This window comes from Homo sapiens, chromosome 2 (genome assembly GCF_000001405.40).
Source record: "Homo sapiens chromosome 2, GRCh38.p14 Primary Assembly".
NCBI lineage: Eukaryota > Metazoa > Chordata > Mammalia > Primates > Hominidae > Homo > Homo sapiens.
This window is the reverse complement of record NC_000002.12, coordinates 32266372-32288866: the sequence shown is the minus strand read 5'-3', so window position 1 is coordinate 32288866 and position 22495 is coordinate 32266372. Positions and strand designations below refer to the sequence as shown.

General features: G+C 43.4%; 1 protein-coding gene across 3 annotated transcripts in view, besides 2 other annotated features; it reads right to left on the bottom strand.

The window, feature by feature from the left end:
• YIPF4 (Yip1 domain family member 4) overlaps positions 1–10963 on the bottom strand; it is a 38691-nt gene extending 27728 nt beyond the window's left edge. For all 3 annotated transcript variants that reach the window (NM_032312.4, XM_005264599.4, XM_024453173.2), the window contains exon 1: positions 10633–10963. In NM_032312.4, coding sequence (NP_115688.1) covers positions 10633–10711 — 79 coding nt within the window. In that variant the 5' untranslated portion in view covers positions 10712–10963. The remainder of the gene's footprint in view (positions 1–10632) is intronic.
• Positions 10756–10865: a silencer, noted in NCBI's record as "silent region_11340". NCBI's record gives its function as "represses an Ori minimal core promoter by ATAC-STARR-seq in GM12878 lymphoblastoid cells {active_cell/tissue: GM12878}" and the evidence as "EXISTENCE:reporter gene assay evidence [ECO:0000049][PMID:35858748]".
• Positions 11103–11848: an enhancer, noted in NCBI's record as "H3K27ac-H3K4me1 hESC enhancer chr2:32502088-32502833 (GRCh37/hg19 assembly coordinates)". NCBI's record gives its function as "activates a minimal SCP1, AML or CMV promoter by ChIP-STARR-seq in naive H9 embryonic stem cells {active_cell/tissue: H9 hESC(naive)}" and the evidence as "EXISTENCE:reporter gene assay evidence [ECO:0000049][PMID:30033119]".

Sequence of the window (22495 nt, the reverse complement as noted above, 5' to 3'; positions counted from 1 at the left end):
GCCTCCTGAGTTGGGATTACAGGTGCACACAACCATGCCCGGCTAATTTTTATTTATTTATTTATTTATTGCTCTGTCTCCCAGGCTGGAGTGCAGTGGGGCAATCTCGGCTCACTGCAACCTCCACCTCCTGGGTTCAAGTAATTCTCCTGCCTCGGCCTCCTGAGTAGCTGAGATTACTGGCGTGTACCAGCATGCCTGGCTAATTTTTGTATTTTTAGTAGAGATGGGGTTTTGCCATGTTGGCCAGGCTGGTCTCGAACTCCTGACCTCAGATAATCTGCCCACCCTGGCCTTCCCCAAGTGCTGGGATTACAGGTGTGAGCCACCGCGCCAGGCCAAGAGTGTTTTTTCTTAACAAGAAGAAGATTTACATCCAGAAATCATTAGTACAGCAGTGACATTAGAGGTTTTGCAGTTATGAGGCTGGAAAGGACCTTAACAACTGTTTCCTGGTTTCTAGAAAGGACTGTACTTAAAGTCCTTAATCTAAACCAAAAAAGGATATATAAATTATAGTGCTAAGGAATGTTGTGCTCAAGAACTGTACATGTTTAGCAGTTTGTCATAGCGCAGATGCAAGAACCTCAAAAAGGCATCTTCAGCTTACAAATTTTCTAGTACTTTCTGTTCCATGTAAAGTAGAAAAAATATCAAGGACATATGTAGGAATGCCAACAATAGCAGTTTGACACCTCCCCCAGGACCCCCAAGACATAACTGTCAGTGAGAAAGAACAGGAAAGTCCAAAAAATTAGTAGTAGTTTAACATGTTATCAAGTTAACAAGTGGAGAATGATGTCAGAGAGCAAGAAAAACAATTAAAAATTACTCCAGGAGCATGGCTGATTTAATTTAAACCAGAGTAAGAACAAGCTAGCTTGGTTGTCAGCTCTTGGATAGACGTCCAGATAGTAAAACATGAATTTTAGGTTAATTCTTCCTTACTATACTATATATAAAATATTCTTGTCATTTCCTAAGTAAAAACAATGTAAAGGATAATAAATATAAAAGTGGATTTAAAAAGATACAATCTTTTAAAAAATCTATTGTAAAAGGAAATTTTAAAAATGTTTCTACAGCTGTTTTGGCTCAGAGTGAAGAGTATCAGTAAATTTCAAGTCTTACTGAAAGCCACCTTTGGAAAACCCACACAACAAAATTTAACAGGAATTTTTCTTCCCTTTCAACTCAAATGTATGACTGGGTATGGGGTCCTTTCTCTGAATCTTCTGCTCAGCCTGAGAATGTGAAAAATTCTCACAGTGCAGTGTGATAGTACACTGAAGATGAAATTTACTACTGATCTGCCCCTAGACAAGTTCCCGATTTCTGTGAAAGAAGAGTATCCTGCAATAAACAATGAACATTTTGTGGCACTTGACACATTCTTATATACGTAAAGAAGCTTTTCCTTATTTAATAAGCAACAAGAGCAAGGACAAAAATCATCTCGTTTCATCTCATCTCAGACTTGAAAATGAAGTCTATGTGTGCTTCAGTATGACCCAGAGTTGTGTATATGTGCCACAGAAACAAAAACAAGCATATGTTTTTGCACTAAAAGATATTAATAAATTTCATTATTTCATTTGAGTTATAAGGATACCATTTTATTTATTTTAGAGACAGACTCTCTTGTCCAGGCTGGAGTGCAGTGCCATGATCACAACTCACTGCAATCTCCACCTCCCAGGTTCAAGCGATTCAACTACCTCAGCCTCTCGAGTAGCTGGGATTACAGGCATGCACCACCATGCCCAGCTAAGTTTTGTATTTTTAGTAGAGATGGGGTTTCAACATGTTGGCCAGTCTGGTCCTGAACTCCTGGCCTCATGTAATACACCTGCCTTGGCCTCCCAAAGTGCTGGGATTAAAGACACGAGCCACTGTGCCTGGCCTAAGGATACCATTTTAATGTATACATAGGCCTATGAAAGAGATCAAGAAACTAATGCATGTGCATAATCTTGTAACTGCTAGACCTATACTGGAGCTTGATCACGTTACTCTGTAAGAAAATGTTTTTTTCAGCAGGGTGGGGTGGCTCAGGTCTGTAATCCCAGTCGAGGTGGGCAGATCACGAGGTCAAGAGATCGAGACAATCCTGGCCAACGTGGTAAAACCCTGTCTCTACTAAAAATGCAAAAATTAGCTGGGTGTGGTGGCGTGCGCCTGTAGTCCCAGCTACTCGGGAGGCTGAGGCAGGAGAATCACTTGAGCCCGGGAGGTGGAGGTTGCACTGAGCTGAGATCGCGCCACTGCACTCCAGCCTGCCAACAGAGCGCAACTCCATCTCAAAAAAAAAAATGTTTTTTTCAAAGTCTTGTATAAATTTTTGTCTTAGGTTATATTTTTAATCATGTTGTTCTGGTTTATGGTTTTAGTAGTTTTTCTATCAAATATTATAGGTAAATTTTCATACTGTAAATAATTAAATTCTGTAATTTATCTGATAAACAAAAAGATGAAATTTCTTTTGTCTTATGTCTTTAAATTTTTATTTTGAAAAATTATAGATTCATAGAAAGTTACAAAAATGGAAAAGAGAGGTCTTATGTACCCTTTACCCAGTTTTTCCCAATAGTACAAACTCACATAACTATCAAATTCAGGACACTGACACTGGTACAATCCACAGACCTTATTCAGATTTCACCAGTTTGACATGCACTCATTTGTGTGTGTGTATATGTGTTTATAGTTCTATGCAATTTAATCACATTTGTAGATTTGTGTAATGCCTTATGAGTTTTAAAACTCATGCAAATAAGTAGATTAATTAATGAAAAAAGTAAACCTTGTTTAACTCCCCTAAGAAAGGTTGGCTAAAATGTCATTTTCAGTTTTCAAAAAGGAAATAAAAGTTATTCTTGCACCCATTACATACTATATATCATACTTCACCAGCATATTGTATAGAAAACATTTGTGATAAGACTAGACCTATATGGATATTATTTTTCATAAGTAGGAATCATAGACTTCGAGACCAACCTGGCCAAGACAGTGAAACCCCATCTCTACCAAAAATACAAAAATTAGCCGGGTGCGGTGGCGAGCACCTGTAATCCCAGCTACTTGGGAGGCTGAGGCAGGAGAATTGCTTGAGCCTGGGAGGTGGAGGTTGCAATGAGCTGAGATCGCACCACTGCACTCTAGCCTGGGTGACACAGCAAGACTCCGTCTCCAAAAAAAAAAAAAAAAGGAAAAACTAAAGATTCCTCTGTCTACATTACTAACTTGTATTAGAGGTGACATCCTTTCTGGGAAGGGGGAATTTCAAACAAAGAATAGGCTGAAATGGTCACAATAACAGAGTGACAGAAAAGTATCACTCAAAAGAACACTGATAGTAATTATCTACAATTTACTGATCACTGTATTGTGAGCTGCAGGTATTATAATTTTTATATAGGGATAAAAAGACTGAAGAAGGCCAAGGTTGAAATGCAATATATTGAGTCCAGTCCTCTTCACTAGATTTATATAACCTATTGTCAACATTTCCTTGCATCTATCTCAAAGGCATCTAAAATTCAATATTCCAAAACTGATATATCTCAGGTCTTCCTCCATTTTTTTCATTAAATGATACTACTAATCTATCCAGCATTGTAAGCTAGAAGCTTATCCTTGACAGTTTGCTTTATTTGCATGCTTCCTCTCCATCCAAACCACCACTAAATTGTCAGTTTTACCTCTAAATATTTTTAAATGTCTGTCCACTTACCATTTCTACCACCAGTAGCAAGCTCATGCAAACCATCAACTCCTGTCTGCATGATTATAATGGTGTACAAACTGCCCTCCCCCCAGTCATTCTTGTCTCCTTCCAATCCATACTCTTCACTGTACCCCGGAGACTCTTTCTAAGATGCAAATATTTCACTCTTTTGTTTAGAATCCTTCATCTCCCTCCCCCAGTTGCTTTTCTAGCTCAAGTCCAATAATCTCTACATGCCCTATCTTATCCAGGCCCACTTACCTGCTCTCCTCTCAATCTGGACTCTATACCCTAGCCACACTAAGCCTCTCATTTCTCTGAATGAACCTGGATTCTGTTTGTCTCAGGGACCTTGTGCCAGGCTGTTTCCTCCAACTTCAGATAATTAAATGCCATCCATTCTTCAGTTCTCAGATATACTTGCTGTATTAGTCCATTCTTGCATTGCTCTAAAGAACTACCTGAGACTGAGTAATTTATAAACAAAAGAGGTTTGACTCACAGTTCCACAGGCTCTACAGGAAGCATGGCTGGGTATGCCTTAGGAAACTTACAATCACGGCAGATTGCAAAGGGGAAGCAGGCAGTTTTACATGGCCAGAGGAGGGAGAGACAGACAGTGGAGGTGCTACACCCTTTTAAAAAACCAGACCTTGTGAGAACTCACTATGACAAGAACAGCAAGAGGGAAGTCCACCCCCATGATCCAGTCACCTCCCACCAGGCCTCTCCTCCAACACTGAAGATTACAATTCAACATGAGATTTGGGCAGGGACACAAATCCAAACCATTACACTCGCTTAAGCAAATTTTCCTTGATCCTGCAGACTAGACTATGTAAGTTCCTTTCACAGTTCCCTCCACTTTTCCTTCACGATATTTATCACTATATATAATTATATATTTGTGTAATTACTTGGTTGTTTATAAAATCTATGAAAGGAGAGACTATTTGGGATTTTTGGTGGCATTTGTCTTGGTACATATATCCCCAGTACTTATAATAGTGCCTGATCCATAGTAGGCAATCAACAAATGTGCATGCTTATTGAATGAATTAATTGATGGAAGGGCAAACAATACCATAAAGCTTAAATTAAGAAGTGATATTAGGCCTGGCGTGGTGACTCATGCCTGTAATCAATCCCAGCACTTTGGGAGGCAGAGGTGGGCGGATCACTTGAGGTCAGGAGTTTGAGACCAGCCTGACCAACGTGGTAAAACCCCGTCTCTATTAAAAAAATACAAAAATTAGCCGAGCATGGTGGCAGGCACCTGTAATCCCAGCTACTTGGGAGGCTGAGGCAGGAGAATTGCTTGAACCTGGGAGGCAGAGGTTGCAATGAGCCAAGATTGCGCCATTGCACTCCAGCCCGGGCAACACAGCGAGACTCTTGTCTCAAAAAAAAAAAAAGACATGAGATAAATGAAAGCAAAAATAATTTATTCAACAAATAATTCTTTTGTGATATTTATACCATGGGTTCTATGATAGGTACTGGGGTATAGAAAATATTAGGAAGTTTCCGTTTCTGAGGGACAGTTAAAGCAAGTTTTACCAAGGAAAGAGCATTTGAGTTCAGTCTTAGGTTTTAACTTAAGGCGAGGAGGAGAAAGACATTCTAAGCATGATGATCAGAATCTGCATCCACATGGAGACAAAACACCAAAGCACATTTTAGAATAAAGGGTATGTGTGGAGAAATAGTAAGGATAGCTATCATTAAGAATGAGGGATTTGGACAGAATCTAGAAGGAAGGTTATACACTGAAAACATCTGTAAGTTGAAAATATTCATGGTTAAAAAACACTATAAAAAGGGGAGAAGCAAGAATTTATATGACGTGTAGAAACCAGGGAAAAGACCCGGAGTTGTACAGTAAAATGTTCATGTTGGAAAACAATAAAAAAAAAGTGTGGGGTCAGTTAACACTGAAACCCAAGCAGCAACATCATTACTCACATATGTTGAACACTTAACTCTGCCAGATATAGTAGTAAATGTTTTACATTTACAAAGTATTTGAGCACTTGGGTATTCCTTTTTTTTTTTTTTTTTTGAGACAGTCTCACTCTGTCGCCCAGGCGGGAGTGCAGTGGCGCGATCTTGGCTCACTGCAAGCCCCACCTCCCAGGTTCACGCCATTCTCCTGCCTCAGCCTCCAGAGTAGCTGGGACTACAGGCACCCGCCACCACCCCCGGCTAATTTTTTTGTATTTTTAGTAGAGACTGGGTTTCACCTTGTTAGCCAGGATGGTCTTGATCTCCTGACCTCGTGATCCGCCCACCTCGGCCTCCCAAAGTTCTGGGATTACAGGCGTGAGCCACCCACCTGGCCTGCACTTGGGTATTCTTATTCCCAATTTGTATATGAGGAAAATGAGGTTAAGAAAGGGTAAGTTGGCGGGGCACAGTGGCTCACACCTGTAATCCCAGCACTTTGGGAAGCTGAGGCGGGTGGATCACGAGGTCAGGAGTTCGAGAACAGCTTGGCCAATGTGGTGAAACCCCGTGTCTACTAACGATACAAAACATTAGCTGGGTGTGGTGGCGCGAGCCTGTAATCCCAGCTACTTGGGAGGCTGAGGCAGAAGAATCGCTTGAACCCGGGAGGCAGAGGTTGCAGTGAGCCAAGATGGTGCCATTGCACTCCAGCCTGGGCGACAGGGCGAGACTCCGTCTCAAAAACAAAACAAAACAAAAAAGGTAAGTAGCTTGCCCAAGATCACATGGAGAGTAATTGATAAAGCCAGGATGCAAATCCAGGACTCTTCCATACTTCAGATACACAATTTAGAAAAATGTAAGAAAGAGACAGTAGAAAGAAACTTGAGGAGATAGCAGAATAGCTCTTTGGTTTTGTTTTTTTGAGATGGGGTGTCACTACGTTCCCCTGGGTGGCCTCAGACTCCTGGGCTCAAGCAATCATCTTGCTTCAGCCTCCTGAGTAGCTGGGATCGCAGGTGCATGCTATCACACCTGGCTGTAGACTAGCTCTTAATTCCAGATCTAGCATGTGAAAATTGCTAAACCTCTCTAAGCCTCAGTTTCTTTTTTTCCTTTTTTTTTTTCAGCCAGGGTCTTGCTTTGTTGCCTAGGCTGGAGCACACTGGCACAATCACAGCTCACTGCAGCCTAGACCTCCCAGTCTCAAGTGAGACTCAGAGTAGCTGACCCCATGGTAGCTGGGACCACAGGTGTGCACTACCATGGTTGCCTTTTTTTTTTTTTTTTTTTTTGAGACAGAGTCTCACCCTGTCACCCAGGCTGAAGTGTGATGGCATGATCTTGGCTCACTGCAACCTCTGCCTTCTGGGTTCAAGTGATTCTCCTGCCTCAGCCTCCTAGGTAGCTGGGATTGGGATTGCAGGTGCGTGCCACCATGCCCGGCTAATTTTTTGTATGTTTTGTAGAGATGGGGTTTTGCCATGTTGCCCAGGCTGGTATCAAACTCTCGAGCTTAAGCCAACTGCCCACCTCAGCCTAAAGTGCTGGGATTACAGGTGTAAGCCACCACACCCAGCTCACCTCAGTTTCTTTATAGAATACAGGAATAATAAAGCTCACTGGGAGTCTTATAAAGAACAAATGAGGCTGGGTGTGGTGGCTCATGCCTGTAATCCCAGTACTTTGGGAGGCCAAGGTGGGTGGATCACTTGAGCCCAGGAGTTCAAGACCAGCCTGTGAAACATGGCGAAACCCTGTCTCTACAAAAAATACAAAAATTAACCAGGCATGGTGGCGTACACCTGTAGTCCCAGTTACTCAGGAGGCTGAGGCAGGAGAATCACTTGATCCCAGGAGGTGGAGATTGCAGTGAGCTGAGATCAAGCCACTGCACTCCACCCTAGGCAAGGGGAGTGAAACTCTGTCTCAAAAAAGGAAAAAAAAAAAAAGATCAAATGAGTAGTATACTTAAAATACTCTAAATTTAAACTGTACGATATAATATTGTGTGAGGATATTATGCATATACATATAGCTCCGTGGATATACAGACCTATATGTCTCCTGAGGAAATACAGAGAAGTTTGAATAAACTTCATGGATTTTTACTTATTTCAGGTTTCTTAGTATGTGGAATCAATGGGTTATCTACTTACATTATTCTGTCGGATTTCTTAGGCATATTTAAAAAAAGTAATTCCTCAGGGAAGGGAGAATGAAAAAAATAAACAAATACATGGAAACATGAGTTTGAACAAACATCATGTTCTGACACTTAAACAATTTTTTTAAACCTGGGAAATTAAAGTTGATATTCCTCCCTAAGCACCATGCTACCAAATGTAGATGAAACAAATTGAAATATTTTGGGGTGCTGTATCTCAGTTTAAAAGAAATTTACGGCTTGGCTGGTAGCTCACATCTGTAATCCCAGCAATTTGGGAGGCCAAGAATCTGAGACAAGCCTAGGCAACCTAGTGAGATCTACAAAATGTTCAAAAATTAGGCCGGGCGCGGTGGCTCACGCCTGTAATCCCAGCACTTTGGGAGGCCGAGGCAGGCAGATCACGAGGTCAGGAGATCGAGACCATCCTGGCTAACACAGTGAAACCCCGTCTCTACTAAAAATACAAAAAAAAAATTAGCCGCGCGTGGTGCCGGGCGCCTGTAGTCCTAGCTACTCGGGAGGCTGAGGCAGAGAATGGCGTGAACCCGGGAGGCGGAGCTTGCAGTGAGCTGAGACTGCGCCACTGCACTCCAGCCTGGGCGACAGAGCAAGACTCTGTCTCAAAAAAAAAAAAAATTAGCCTGGGCGGATCACAAGATCAGGAGATCAAGACCATCCTGGCTAACACAGTGAAACCCCGTCTCTACTAAAAAAATACAAAAAAATTAGCTGGGTGTGGTGGCTGGCACCTGTAGTTCCAGCTACTCGGGAGGCTGAGGCAGGAGAATAGCATGAACCTGGGAAGCGGAGCTTGCAGTGAGCCAAGACTGCACCACTGCACTCCAGCCTGGGTGACAAAGTGAGACTCCGCCTCAAAAAAAAAATATATATATATATATTAGCTGGGCACGGTGGCACAGACCTTAGGGTTTCATGGGTCCACTTGAAGAGAATAAGCCACCCAGAAAAACCAGCCACCAGACGGTCTCCAGCTACTCAGGAGACTGAAGCGGGAGGATCACTGGAGCCCAGGAATTTGAGGTTATAGTAAGCTATGATCAAACCACTGCACTCCAGCCTGGCAACCGAGTGAGACCACACCTCAAAAAAAAAAAAAAAGAACATAAGAGAAAAAAAAATAAATGTCTCAGCTATGTTCCCTTTGATAGACAAAAATTTTATTGTACATTTTAAATTATGACCAGTACTATTTTTAAAAAACAATGCCAAACAGCACAACAAGAAAAACAAAAGGGAAAACAAGCTATACTGATACACCATAAAATTTCTTAGGAAAATCTAGGTTCTTTCGGCCGGGCGCGGTGGCTCACGCCTGTAATCCCAGCACTTTGGGAGGCCGAGGCGGACGGATCACGAGGTCAGGAGATCGAGACCATCCTGGCTAACACTATGAAACCCCGTCTCTACTAAAAAAAAATACAAAAAAAAAAAAAATTAGCCGGGCGTGGTGGCGGGCGCCTGTAGTCCCAGCTACACGGGAGGCTGAGGCCAGAGAATGGCGTGAACCCGGGAGGCAGAGCTCGCAGTGAGCCGAGATGGCATCACTGCACTCCAGCCTGGGCGACAGAGCGAGACTCAGTCTCAAAAAAAAAAAAAAAAAAAAAGGAAAATCTAGGTTCTTTCTCAGACTGAAATTTCTGTAAACATAATTTATGATTTCATAGCAGCCAGTAAGTCTGGTCACTGGAAAATAACTGGTGCACGAAGTGTAATAAAAATTTGAAAATGGCCGGGGCGCGGTGGCTCACGCCGGTAATCCCAGCACTTTGGGAGGCCGAGGCGGGCGGATCACGAGGTCAGGAGATCGAGAGACCATCATGGCTAACACGGTGAAACCTCATCTCTACTAAAAATACAAAAAAAATTAGTCGGGGGTGGTGGCGGGTGCCTGTAGCCCCAGCTACTCGGGAGGCTGAGGCAGGAGAATGGCGTGAACCCGGGAGGCGGAGCTTGCAGTGAGCCGAGATCGCGCCACTGCACTCCAGCCTGGGCGACAGAGCTCAAGAAAAAAAAAAAAATTGAAAATGACTAGCAGAATAATATCCAGGTTATGAGTTGGATAGGGAACTGAGAATAGGAGGGAAACATTCTCCTGTGCTGTAGGAAAATATCTCCAGCACAATCGCTTCCTCAGAATAATACAAGGAAATCTGTAGAGGCTACTGGAAACACATTGTTGGTTTACACTAAACTTCCAATATACCTGCGTCAATTTCTCTGAATACTGAGGTGAAACATTACAAAATGCGAGGAAAACGGGGACTCGGGCAAGACATCAAATTCAATAAAAACCATTTAGTTTGTATTTGCAGTGCCGAATCTGATCCCAGACCCCCCCCAAAAAATTATCTGTTGATACATAACAGAAGAAAACAGCCCTCCTTCCTTTTTCTCATTCTTTGAGATCTCCCTTGGCCAATCTGTCCTTTTTCTGAGTAAGGGCGAGTAATTCCAGAACTAAAAGCTTAGGATTTTGTGGGTCCAATTGAAGAGACTAAGCCACCCAGAAAAACCAGCCACCAGACGGTATGGGGAAAACCAAGGGCTGACCGAGTAACTTGATGCTTTAAAAAGCAGCTCCCTACACCCCTCCCTCCGTCCTTCGGGGCCTCTCGGAAGGCCCGGCAGGCGTGGTGGGCTGCAGTCACCAGTCAGCTTCCTGCCTGTCCCCACCCGGCCACGACCACCTCGGCACCAGAAAGACCCTACGGCGTCGGGCCCTGGCTTCCTCCGGGTGATAGCCCTTCCAGGGGCTCAGCCTCACCTTCCGCGTCTGCTGAGGAGACAAAGGTGAAGTCCCCGTTAGTGGGGGCATAGGCCGGGGGCGGGCCCGGAGGCTGCATCTCGCGGCGACTCCCAACCGGCCGCGGTAGAAGAGGCTGCGGCTGGGCCCAGACCCCGAGGCGGCCGCGGCGGCGACCCGCACGCTCGCCCTACGGTGCGGCCTACGAGTCTCGACGTGCAAGCTGCGAGCGAGGCCAGAAACGGGCACAGCGGGCCGCTGAGCTGCCCCGAGACTACCCCACCAAAGTCTTCTTGGTGGCGACCACCCAAGCACCACGACGCCGGCACCCTGACAGGACCATAACAGTGACAGCGGCGCTGGGATTGGCTCTTTGTAATGTGCTCTCCCATTGGCTCCCGGAGGAAGATTCTGATTGGGTCTTCCTGTTGTTGATTCCGGAAGTTTACCCAGGACAGGAAGTTCACTTGTAATTCGTGGAAATCTCAGGCCTCTTTTTCCTCCTTGGGTGCTTTTGTTCCTTTAAGTGCGATCTTTCCTGGCGTTTTGTTTACCTATTACCTCCGTTTTTGTTAAGTGGGTGGGTTAAAGAATTTTAGAACTAGGTAGATTTTATGGGTCAGCCGCCGTACAGGATCTCAAGATTCCCTTGCCATTAGCCATTAATTAATAGTGTAGGATCTTGACTAAGTTATATGTAATGTCTGGATGGCAGTTTCCTCACCTGTAAGATGAAGAGGGATGGATCGGAGAATGAAGATAAAAGGCAGAGAAGCCGTAAATCGCCACCCAGAGACTAGGGCTGTAGATACATTCCTTTATGAGGGAGAAAACTGAGGCCAGAGAAAGTAAGGTAGAAACAGATTTAGGACAGTACCTAAATCTCCTAATTTCTAGTCAAGTGCTCTTTTCACTGGAAGGCCCTGTCTACTGATAAGCTTGCCGAAGTTAACAAACTCACCTGCTTTTAAATGTTTACATACGTAACTTTAATATTCAAGCTACATAAATGTGGCTTCCAACTTGAAGAAAGAGGGGTTGGGGTATATTAGGAGGCCAACTTGGAGAAATACACAATTGATCAGCAATAGAGCAATCGAGAGACATGTCTATTAGTGTGTTAAATGGTATTTCTGGAAAATTTTCTCACAGGAGGTAACATGTTGGTACTTAAAGGATGAGTAAATGTAGTGGTTTTGTTTGTTTTAGAGACAAGGTCGCTCCGTTACCCAGGCTGGAGTGCAGTGGTGCAGTAATAGCTCCTTGTAACCTCACACTCCTGGGCTCAGGCAGTCCTCCCAACTCAGCTATCTAAGTAGCTGGGACTACAAGCCCCCTGCCACCATGTTTGGCTAATATTTATTTATTTATTTATTTATTTTTGAGACGGAGTCTCATTCTGTCGACAGGATGGAGTGCAGTGGCGCGATCTCGGCTCACTGCAACCTCCGCCTCCAGGGTTCAAGCGATTCTCCTGCCTCAGCCTCCCGAGTAGCTGGGACTACAGGTGCCTGCCACCACGCCTGGGTAATTTTTTGTATTTTTAGCAGAGACGGGGTTTCACCATGTTAGTCAGGATGGTCTCGATCTCCTGACCTTGTGGTCTGCCTGCCTTGGCCTCCCAAAATGCTGAGATTACCGGCGTGAGCCACTGCACCCAGCCCGAATATAACCATTTTTTAAAACATGCCAATTTGATGGGTGATTGTGGGGAAAAGAAAGAGAGATCAGATTGTTACTGTGTCTGTGTAGGAAGAAGTAGACATAGGAGACTCCATTTTGTTCTGTACTAAGACAAATTCTTCTGCCTTGAGATGCTGTTAATCTATAACCTTAGCCCCAAACCCGAACTCTCTGAAACATGTGCTGTGTCAACTCACGGTTAAATGGATTAAGGGCTGTGCTAGATGTGCTTTGTTAAACAGATGCTGGAAGGCGGCATGCTCCTTAAGAGTCATCACCACTCCCTAATCTCAAGTACCCAGGGACACAAACACTGCGGAAGGCCGCAGGTACCTCTGCCTAGGAAAGCCAGGTGTTGTCCAAGGTTTCTCCCCATGTGATAGTCTGAAATATGGCCTCGTAGGAAGGGAAAGACCTGACCGTCCTCCAACCCGACACCCGTAAAGGGTCTGTGCTGAGGAGGATTAGTATAAGAGGAAGGCATGCCTCTTTGCAGTTGAGACAAGAGGAAGGCATCTGTCTCCTGCCCATCCCTGGGCAATGGAATGTCTTGGTATAAAACCCGATTGTATGTTCCATCTACTGAGATAGGGGAAAACTGCCTTAGGGCTGGAGGTGGGCCATGCGGGCAACAATACTGCTCTGTAAGGCATTGAGATATTTATGTGTATGCATATCTAAAGCACAGCACTTAATTCTTTACCTTGTCTATGATGCAGAGACCTTTGTTCACGTGTTTATCTGCTGACCTTCTCTCCACTATTATCCTATGACCCTGCCACATCCCCGTCTCTGAGAAACACCTAAGAATGATCAATAAATACTAAGGGAACTCAGAGGCTGGCAGGATCCTCCGTATGCTGAACGCTGGTCCCCTGGGCTCCCTTATTTCTTTCTCTATACTTTGTCTCTGTGTCTTTTTCTTTTCCAAGTCTCTCGTTCCACCTAACGAGAAACACCCACAGGTGTGGAGGGGCAACCCACCCCTTCAGGTGACACATATTTTATTGTTTTAAATTTCATGTTATTTGTTTTAACTAAATGATGATATTTCTAAGTACTAGAAAAATGGACAGAATCCTGAGTGGGTGGAAGAGACACGACGTGAATGAAAGGAGATGTCTTTAATTTTGAATTAATACTAGTGAAAGAAGAATATAATGTAACAAACTGTAGTTTGAAGGTAAATAAACCCCATTTGATTAACATTGTATTTACAGCCAGGAACCTGATGTTGTGCACACTTAGATGAAAGGGCAATAACTCAGAAAAACCGAATTGAAAGCTTCCAGGATTTATTTAAGCATATTGTTGAGTCAATACATAAGGACTTGTAGGCCATACCATTGGCCAATTCATTCTTTTATTTTTTTTGAGACAGTCTCACTCTGTTGCCCAGGCTGGAGTGCGGTGGCGCGATCTCGGCTCACTGCAACTGAGTTCAAGTGATTCTCATGCCTCAGCCTCCCGACTAGCTGGGATTACAAGCGCCTGCCACTGAGCTCGGCTAATTTTTTGTATTTTTAGGACAGACAGAGTTTCACTATCTTGGCCAGGCTGGCCTTGAACTCCTGACCTCATGATCCACCCACCTCGGCCTCCCACAGTGCTGGGATTACAGGCGTGAGCCACCGCGCTGGCAGCCAATTCATTCTTAATTTGTTGGTTCTGTATCTTGGTAAATAGTATCCTCCTTCACCTAGTCGTTAAAGCCAGAAATTTGAATTACATTGCAGGCTCCTCCCTTTCACTCACCTCTTAAATCCCCTTCGATCTTGCTTGTTCTGTCTCTGAAATAGAACTTGAGAGCACTTCTCTTCATCTTTATGGCTACTATTCTCATTGAAATTACTATTATCTCACCTAAACAGCTATCACTTCTTAACTGGTTTTACAGTGCAGCAGCTAAAGTGATTCTTTAAAACACAAGCATCATTATTCCTCTCTCAGTGTAGAAACTGTCAGTGGTTTTCCACTGCTTTTAGAGTGAAATCTAAACTCCTTTCTCCTGCCAGCCTCCCTAGCCTCATCTCATGCCACTCTTCTGCTTGTAATCAATCATCTTGGCCTTTTTACAGTTCTTAGAATTAGCTAAGCTCTTTCTCGCCTCAAGGCTTCTGTGCTTGCTCTTCTCTGACTAGAACATTGTTCCTTTGCGCTTTCAGGGCTGGTTCCATTCATCCATGAGACCTCAGCTTAAATGTCACCATCCTAGCTTCCTTGACCAGCATATTAATCTCTATTATAGTACCCTAGTTATTTATTTCCTAGCACTTATCACAAATATGCCATTATGCTATTTATCTGCTCACTTATTATTTATTTATTTATTTATTTTTGAGACAGAGTCTTGCTCTGTCGCCCAGGCTGGAGTGCAGTGCCAAAGTCTTGGCTCACTGCAACCTCCGCCTCCCAGGTTCAAGCGATTCTCCTGCTTCAGCCTGCCGAGTAGCTGGGACTACAGGCACGCACCACCACACCCGGCTAATTTCTGTATTTTTAGTAGAGATGGGGTTTCACATATTGATCAGGCTGGTCTTGAACTCCTGACCTCGTGATCCACCTGCCTCAGCCTCCCAAAGTGCTGGGATTACAGGCGTGAGCCACTGCGCCCGACCTCACTTATTTTTTAGAGGAGTGAAGAAACACAAGAATAAATGAACGCAAAACCACAATGAGATGCATGTCACCCATTAAGATGGCTGTAATTTTAAAAAGACAGAAATAACAAGTGTTGACAAGGATGTGAAGAAATTGGAACCTTTATACACTGCTCTTTGTGATACAAAATGTAGCTGCTGTTTTAGAACACTGTCCGGCAGTTCCTCAAATGCTTAAACATAGATGTACCATATGATCTAGCAATTGCACTCCTAGAGAAATGAAAACATATGGCCACACAAAAATTCGTGTGGACACAAGCACACTAATGTTCATAGCAGCAATATTCATAATAGACAAAAAGTGGAAACCACCCAAAGGTTTATCAGTTGATAAGTGAATAAATTGGTATATCCATACAATGGAATATTATTTGGCAATAAAAATGAACGAAGTACCGATACATACTAAAATTTGGATGAACCCTGAAAACATTATGCTAAGTGATAGAAGCCAATCAAAAAGGACCACATATTATTATTCCATTTATATGAAATGTCCAGAATAGGCAGGTCCATAAAGATAGACAGTAGATCAAGGCGACAGCTAAGGAGGACAGGTTTTCTTTGGGGGCTAACAAAAAATGTTCTAAAAAAAATTTTTTTTTTGAGACAGGGTCTCACTCTGTCATCCAGGCTGGAGTGCAGTGGCACAATCACAGCTCACTTCAGCCTCAGCCTCCACAGGCTGAAATGATCCTCCCACCTCAGGCTCCCAAGTGGCTGGGACTTACAGGCATGTGCCATTATGACCGGCTAATTTTTTTGTATTTTTTATAGAGATGGGGTTTTGCCACATTGCCCAGGCTGGTCTTGAACTCCTGGGCTAAAGCAATCCCCCAACTTCAGCCTCCCAAAATGTTGGGATTATAGGAGTGGGCCATTTTGCTGAGGCAGTGTTCTAAAATTGATCATGGTGATGGATGCACAACACTGTGAATATACTATAAGCCACTGAATTGTACACTTTAAATGGATGAGTTGTAAGGTATATGAATTATATCTCGACAAAGCTGTTAAAAAACAAATGAATGACCTTATGTAGAAAGTGAATAACATCCAATCTGCAGTATATTTTAACAACAGTTACCAAAAGTTTGAGCTTTGGTTTTAACATATTTCTGTTCAAATCTTATTTTTCCACTTTGCTATATTACTCTAGGCAAGTTAATTTCTTTAAGCCTAAGTTACTCCTCTGTAAAGTAGGGGTAATAATTATCTCATAGATGCGAGTTAAATGACATATTTAAAACACTTAGAGTGGTTGGCACATAGTAAACAATATGTGTCATGACAAAAACGCTCAGCAAATTAGGAACACAAGTTCCTCATTCTAATAAAGGGTGTATGTGATAAGCAGAATAATGGCCCCCCAGAGATGTCTGCATCCTAAAATCCAGAATCCATGTGTCTCAGTCTGTTTGGGCTGCTATAACAAAATACCATAGACTGGATGGCTTGTAAGCAACAAATTTATTTCTCACAGTTATGGAGGCTGGGACGTCTAAGACCAAGCTGCTGGCAAATTTGGTGGCTCATTTCCTGGTTCATAGTTGGCTACCTTGTCACTATATCCTCACGTGGTGGAAGGGATGAGGGGCTCTCTCAGGCCTTTTTTTTTTCTGTTTTTTTTTTCCAGTCAGGGTGCCTCGCTCTGTTGGTCAGACTGGAGTGCAGTGGCACAATCATAGCTCGCTATAACCTCAAACTCCTTGGCTCAAGCAATCCTCCTGCCTCAGCCTCTTGAGTAGCCTAATTTTTAATTTTTATGGGTACACAGTTGGTGTATATATTTATGGTGTACATGTTGGGCCTCTTTTATAAGTCCACTAATCCCATTTATAAAGACTTCTCGCCCATGACCTAGTCACCCCCCAAAGGCCTTACGTCGTAATATTTTGGGGGTGAGGATTTCAACATATGAATTTTGTGGGGACATAAACATGCAGACCATAGCACTATGAATATGTATGTTTGTTACATGGCAAAGGGGAATTAAGATTGCAGATGGCATCTTTGCCGCATTGGGATAACAAAGGTCTTAAATAGGACACAAAAGGCACAAATCACTTAAAAAAATGGTGAGGCCGTGCATGGTGGCTCACGTCTATAATCCCAGCACTTTGGGAGGCCGAGGTGAGTGAATCACTTGAGGTCAGGAGTTCGAGACCAGCCTGGCCAACATGGTGGAACCCCCATCTCTACTAAAAATACAAAAAATTAACTGGTGTGGTGACGGGCACCTGTAGTCCCAGCTACTTGAGAGGCTGAGCCAGGAGAATCACTTGAAGGAGGCAGAGGTTGCAGTGAGCCTGGGCAACAAAGCCAGACTCTGTCTCTCTCTCTCTCTCTCTCTCTCTCTCTCTCTCTCTCTCTATATATATATATATATATATATGTGTGTGTGTGTGAATAGAATTTCATCAAAAATTTAAAGTTCTGCTCTTTGAAAGACATTGTTAAGTCAATGAAAAGGCACATCACAAACTAGAAGAAAATAGTCACAATCCAGAAATCTGATAAATGATTTGTCTCCAGAATACTTCAAGAATCCTTATAACTCAGTGTCATGAAAACGTGAGCAAAAGATTTGAACAGATGCTTCACAAAGAAGATACTCATTTGGCCAATAAGCACATCAAAGGTGCACAGCATCATTAGTCACAAGGGAAATGTAAGTCATAACCACAATGAGATACCTCTTTGGACTCATTAGTGATTATTTGGTGTGGCAGGATTGTGGGGTTTTTTTTTTTGTGTGTCTTTTCTGTATTTTCAAAGTTTTTGAATTTAACATGTATTACCTTTGTAAATAAAAAGCATTCTAGGCCAGGCATGGTGGCTCACGCCTGTAATACTAGCACTTTGGGAGGCCAGGGTAGTAGGATTGCTTGTGTCCAGGAGTTTGAGACCAGCCTGGGCAACATGGCAAAACCCTGTCTATACAAAAATTAGAAAAAAAAAATTTGCTAGGTGTGGCAGTAAGTGCCTGTAGTCTCAGCTACTTGGGATGCTGAGGTGGAAAAATCACTTGAGCCCAGGAGGTCAAGGCTGCAGTGAGCGAAGATCACGCCACTGCACTCCAGCGTGGGTAACACAGTGAGACTCTATCTCACACAAAAAAAGTATTCAAAAAAGGTAAAAGCAGTTTAATTAGTTTCTAATGGTGTAGAACAGCAATCCCCAGCCTTTTTGGCACCAGGGTTTCATGGAAGACAATTTTTCCATGGATAGGGAGTGAGGGAGGGGGAATGGTTTTGGGATTAAACTGTTCCATCTCAGTTCATCAGGCGTTAAGAGTTTCATAAGGAGCATGCAACCTAGATCCCTTGCATGCACAGTTCACAGTAAAATTCACACTCCTCTGAGAATCTAATGCTGTCACTGATCTGACAGGAGATGGAGCTCAGGGGGTCATGCTTGCTCACAGCTGCTCACCTCTACTTTGCGGCCAAGTTCCTAGCAGGCCATGGACCTGTACCAGTTAGCACCCGGAGCTTGAGGACCCCCGGGTGTACAAGTACATCCAATGCTTGCTACATTTTCTTCACTGAGCTGTAAAGGTAATTATCTCATTCACTGTATACTTTTGCACAATTAGATTTTTTAACGCTAGAAAACAGTATGTTCACTTTTCAAACATAAATAGGCTAATCCAGGACCACCCTCTTAAAAGTGTGGTGAATGAATTATTATTTTATTTTATTTTATTTTATTTTATTCTTTTGAGACGGAGTCTCGCTCAGTTGCCCAGGCTGGAGTGCAGTGGCGTGATCTTGGCTCACTACAGCCTCTGCAACCTCTGCCTCCTGGGTTCAAGCTATTTTCATGCCTCAGCCTCCTGAGTAGCTGGGTTTCCAGACATGCACCCCCATGCCTGGCTAATTTTTCGATTTTTTTTTTTTTTTAGTAGAGATGGGTTTTGCCATGTTGGCTAGGCTGGTCTTGAACTCCTGGCCTCAGATGACCCACCGTCCTTGGCCTTCCAAAGTGCTGGGATTACAGACATGAGCCACCACTCCCAGCCAGATGAATAATTTTGCTTTGTTTTGTTTGAAACAGAATCTCACTCTGTCACCCAGGCTGGAGTGCAGTGTCACGATCTCAGCTCACTGCAACATCTACCTCCCGGGTTCAAGTGATTCTCATACCTCAGCCTCCTGAGTAGCTGGGATTACAGGCATGCACCACCATGCCTGGCTAATTGTTTTGTATTTTTCAGTAGAGATAGGGTTTCACCACGTTGCCCAGGCTGGTCTCAAACTCCTGGCCTCAGGTGATCCGCCCACCTCAGCCTCCCAAAGTGCTGGGATTACAGGCGTGAGCCACCACACCCAGCCAGGATGAATGATTTTAGATACTGTCTAGCAAGCCCTGCTCATTTTTTCCTATCAGGACTACTCTCAGTAGCCCTGAGTCCAGCGACCCACAAATCTAGAGCATCAGTGGATGGTGGGGGTACACCCTCCTGCCTAGCTTCTGGAGGCTTCTCTCTGTAGCACTGAGGAAGTCTGGAATTTTCAGTCCTCCACTAGAGCTGGGAGTAGCAGAGAGAGAGAGAGCCAGTGTGTCAGGCAGGGGTGAAGAACATGCATCCGAAGGCTGAGATGTAGACTGCCGACTTGGAACAAGAGGAGGAGGTAGCCATATCTTAGCAACCTGGTAAATGACTGCTACCTTGGGGATGTTAGTATCATAATCTGGGAAACTGCCCAAATACTGGAATACAAATGCAAGGAGTGCAAAAAGTATGACGAGACTGAGCGTGGTGGCTCATGCCTGTAATCCCAGCACTTTGGGAGGCTGAAGCGGGCAGATTGCTTTACACGAGGAGTTTGAGACCAGCCTGGCCAACAAGGCAAAAACCTGTCTCTACTAAAAATTACAAAAATTAGTCAGGCATGGTGGCACATGCCTGTAATCCCAGCTACTCGGGAGGCTGAGGCAGGAGAATCGCTTGAACCTGGGAGATGGAGATTGCAGTGAACTGAGATCATGCCACTGCACTCCAGCCTGGGTGACAGAGTTAGACTCTGTCTCAAAAAAAAAAAGCATGACTAATTCCCCTAAAGAAGTAACTTTATCATTAACTGACTCCTTGTACATGATTTTCATTTGTCATAGGCATCTGAAACATGTTCCCTCTTCCCTATGCCATGCCTCCGCAAATAACACAGTTATCAAACCTATTTGAAATTCTTTCTGCTTCTTGCCAAATATCTCTAGTTGTTTCAAATGTTAATTTTAGAACAGGATTTCAGACTCCTTGAGAGTCAATCTGTCCTCCAGCATTTAGTTTATTCTACCAAAGCCTCTTTTACATAGAGTATCTGAATTATTAGTCCAATTTTAAGGGGTGAGGATGGGGAATTATATATATTTGTATACTTATAAATATTTGTATTTATATACTTACATATAAATATATGTATTTATATAATATTGTATATAAATGTATTTATATAATATATGTAAATATATGTAACTTATATTTATAAATGATATATTTATATATGTATATGTAATATCATGTATAATATATACTTGTTATATATAAATTATAATAATATACATAATATAAATATAGATATGGCAGAGGATAATAGGCACAATGTACTTCTATTTCCTAAAGGAGGTAGTCAAGAAGATTTAACCCTCCTGGCCAGGCACTGTGGCTTACACCTGTAATCCCAGCACTTTGGGAGGCTGAGGTGGGCAGATCACCTGAGGTCAAGAGTTCGAGACCAGCCTGGCCAACATGGTGATATCCCATCTCGACAAAAATACAAAAATTAGCCGGGCGTGGTGTCAAACATCTGTAAGCACAGCTGCTCGGGAGGCTGAAGCAGGAGAATGGCGTGAACCCGGGAGGCAGCGGCTGCAGTGAGCCAAGATCACGCCATTGCACTCCAGCCTGGGCGACAAGAGTGAAACTGTGTCAAAAAAAAAAAAAAAAAAAGCCCGTGCATAGTGGTGCGCACCTGTAATCCCAGCTACTTGGGAGACTGAGGCAGGAGAATCGCTTGAACCCAGGAGGTGGAGGTTGCAGTGAGCTGAGATTGCAGCCACTGCTCTCCAGCCTGGGTGACAAAGTGAGAATCCGTCTCAAAAAAAAAAAAAAAAAAAAATTGACCCCTCTTTATTAAGGCATATTAGGAAGCTGCCTGCCTGATTTGGCCCAGTGACTTCCCTGCCACTAAATATGTAAGCAGAAGACTAACAGAATTCCAGAATAATTATTTTTGGAGTTATGAGTTACAGGCCTCTAGGAAGAAAAGTATCGTGACTTTTTCCTTCCCTCCGCATTAAACTGGGAGTTAAAAGCATGAGTAGCTACATATGCTTAAAGTCACAGAATAGTTAGTGCCATGTGGTACTTCACAGATGGCATCTCAGCTGATATTCACAACAACCCTGGGGCAACTTGGGGAACCATCATTGCACTGCTAAGAAGCTAAGGTGACTTGTATTAGTCACAGGAAGGAACCCAGACTTGAACTCAGGTCTACTTGGCTCCAGAGCTCTGGGCATTTCCACTTTACCACACTCCTAGGATAATAAGCGTTGGGAGAGACTGGGAGGAAGAACATAAGGGCAGGGGACGTAACTGTTGGAACGTAGGATGCCGAAGTTACTAGTTAATTACCTATTTGAAATGCCCTGAAAACACCTGACTGCAAATCCACTCACAAAGGAAACTGGTGAGGCAGCCCAGAAGATGTACTTGAATGAATATGGATATAATTTTGCTTATTTTACTATGAAATACTACTGTATTAGTCTACTGTGGTTGCTGTAACAAAATATCATAAACTGGGTGGTTTAAAACAACAGAAATTTATTCTTTCACAGTTCTGAGGACCAGTCCAACATCAGTATCATGGGGCTGAAATCAGGGTGTCAGCAGGGCCACACTCCTGGGAGCTTTAGGGGAGAATCCATTTATGCCTCTTCCAGCTGCAGGTGGCTGCTGGCATCTTTTGGCTCGTAGCCGTATTACTCGAATCTCTGCATTCATGGTCTTACTGACTTCTCCTGTCAGTTTCAAATCTCCCTCTGGCTCTCTGTAATAAGGGACCATTATTAAGGGCCCACCTGGATCATCCAGAATTCTCTCCCCATCTTCAGAGCCTTAAATGGAACATATCTGGAAAGACACAATATTTACAGTTCCCAGGGATTAGGATTTGGGATATTTGGGTAGCCACTATTCAGCCTACTACAACCATATTTCTACATTTTCCCTTTTTATTCTATATTACATCATTTATTAGTACAAAAGTAATAGGTGTTTGCTATGAAGAATTAGAATATACAGGTTGGGCATGGTGGCTCCCGCCTGTAATCCCATTACTTTAGGAGGACAACACAGGTGGATCACTGGAGACCAAGAGCTCAAGACCAGCTTGGCCAACATAGCAAAACCCTGTCTCTACTAAAAATACAAAAAATTAGCCATGGTGGTGGCCCACACCTGAAATCCCAGCTACTTGAGAGGCTGAGGCACAAGAATTGCTTGAGCCTGGGAGGCAGAGGTTGCA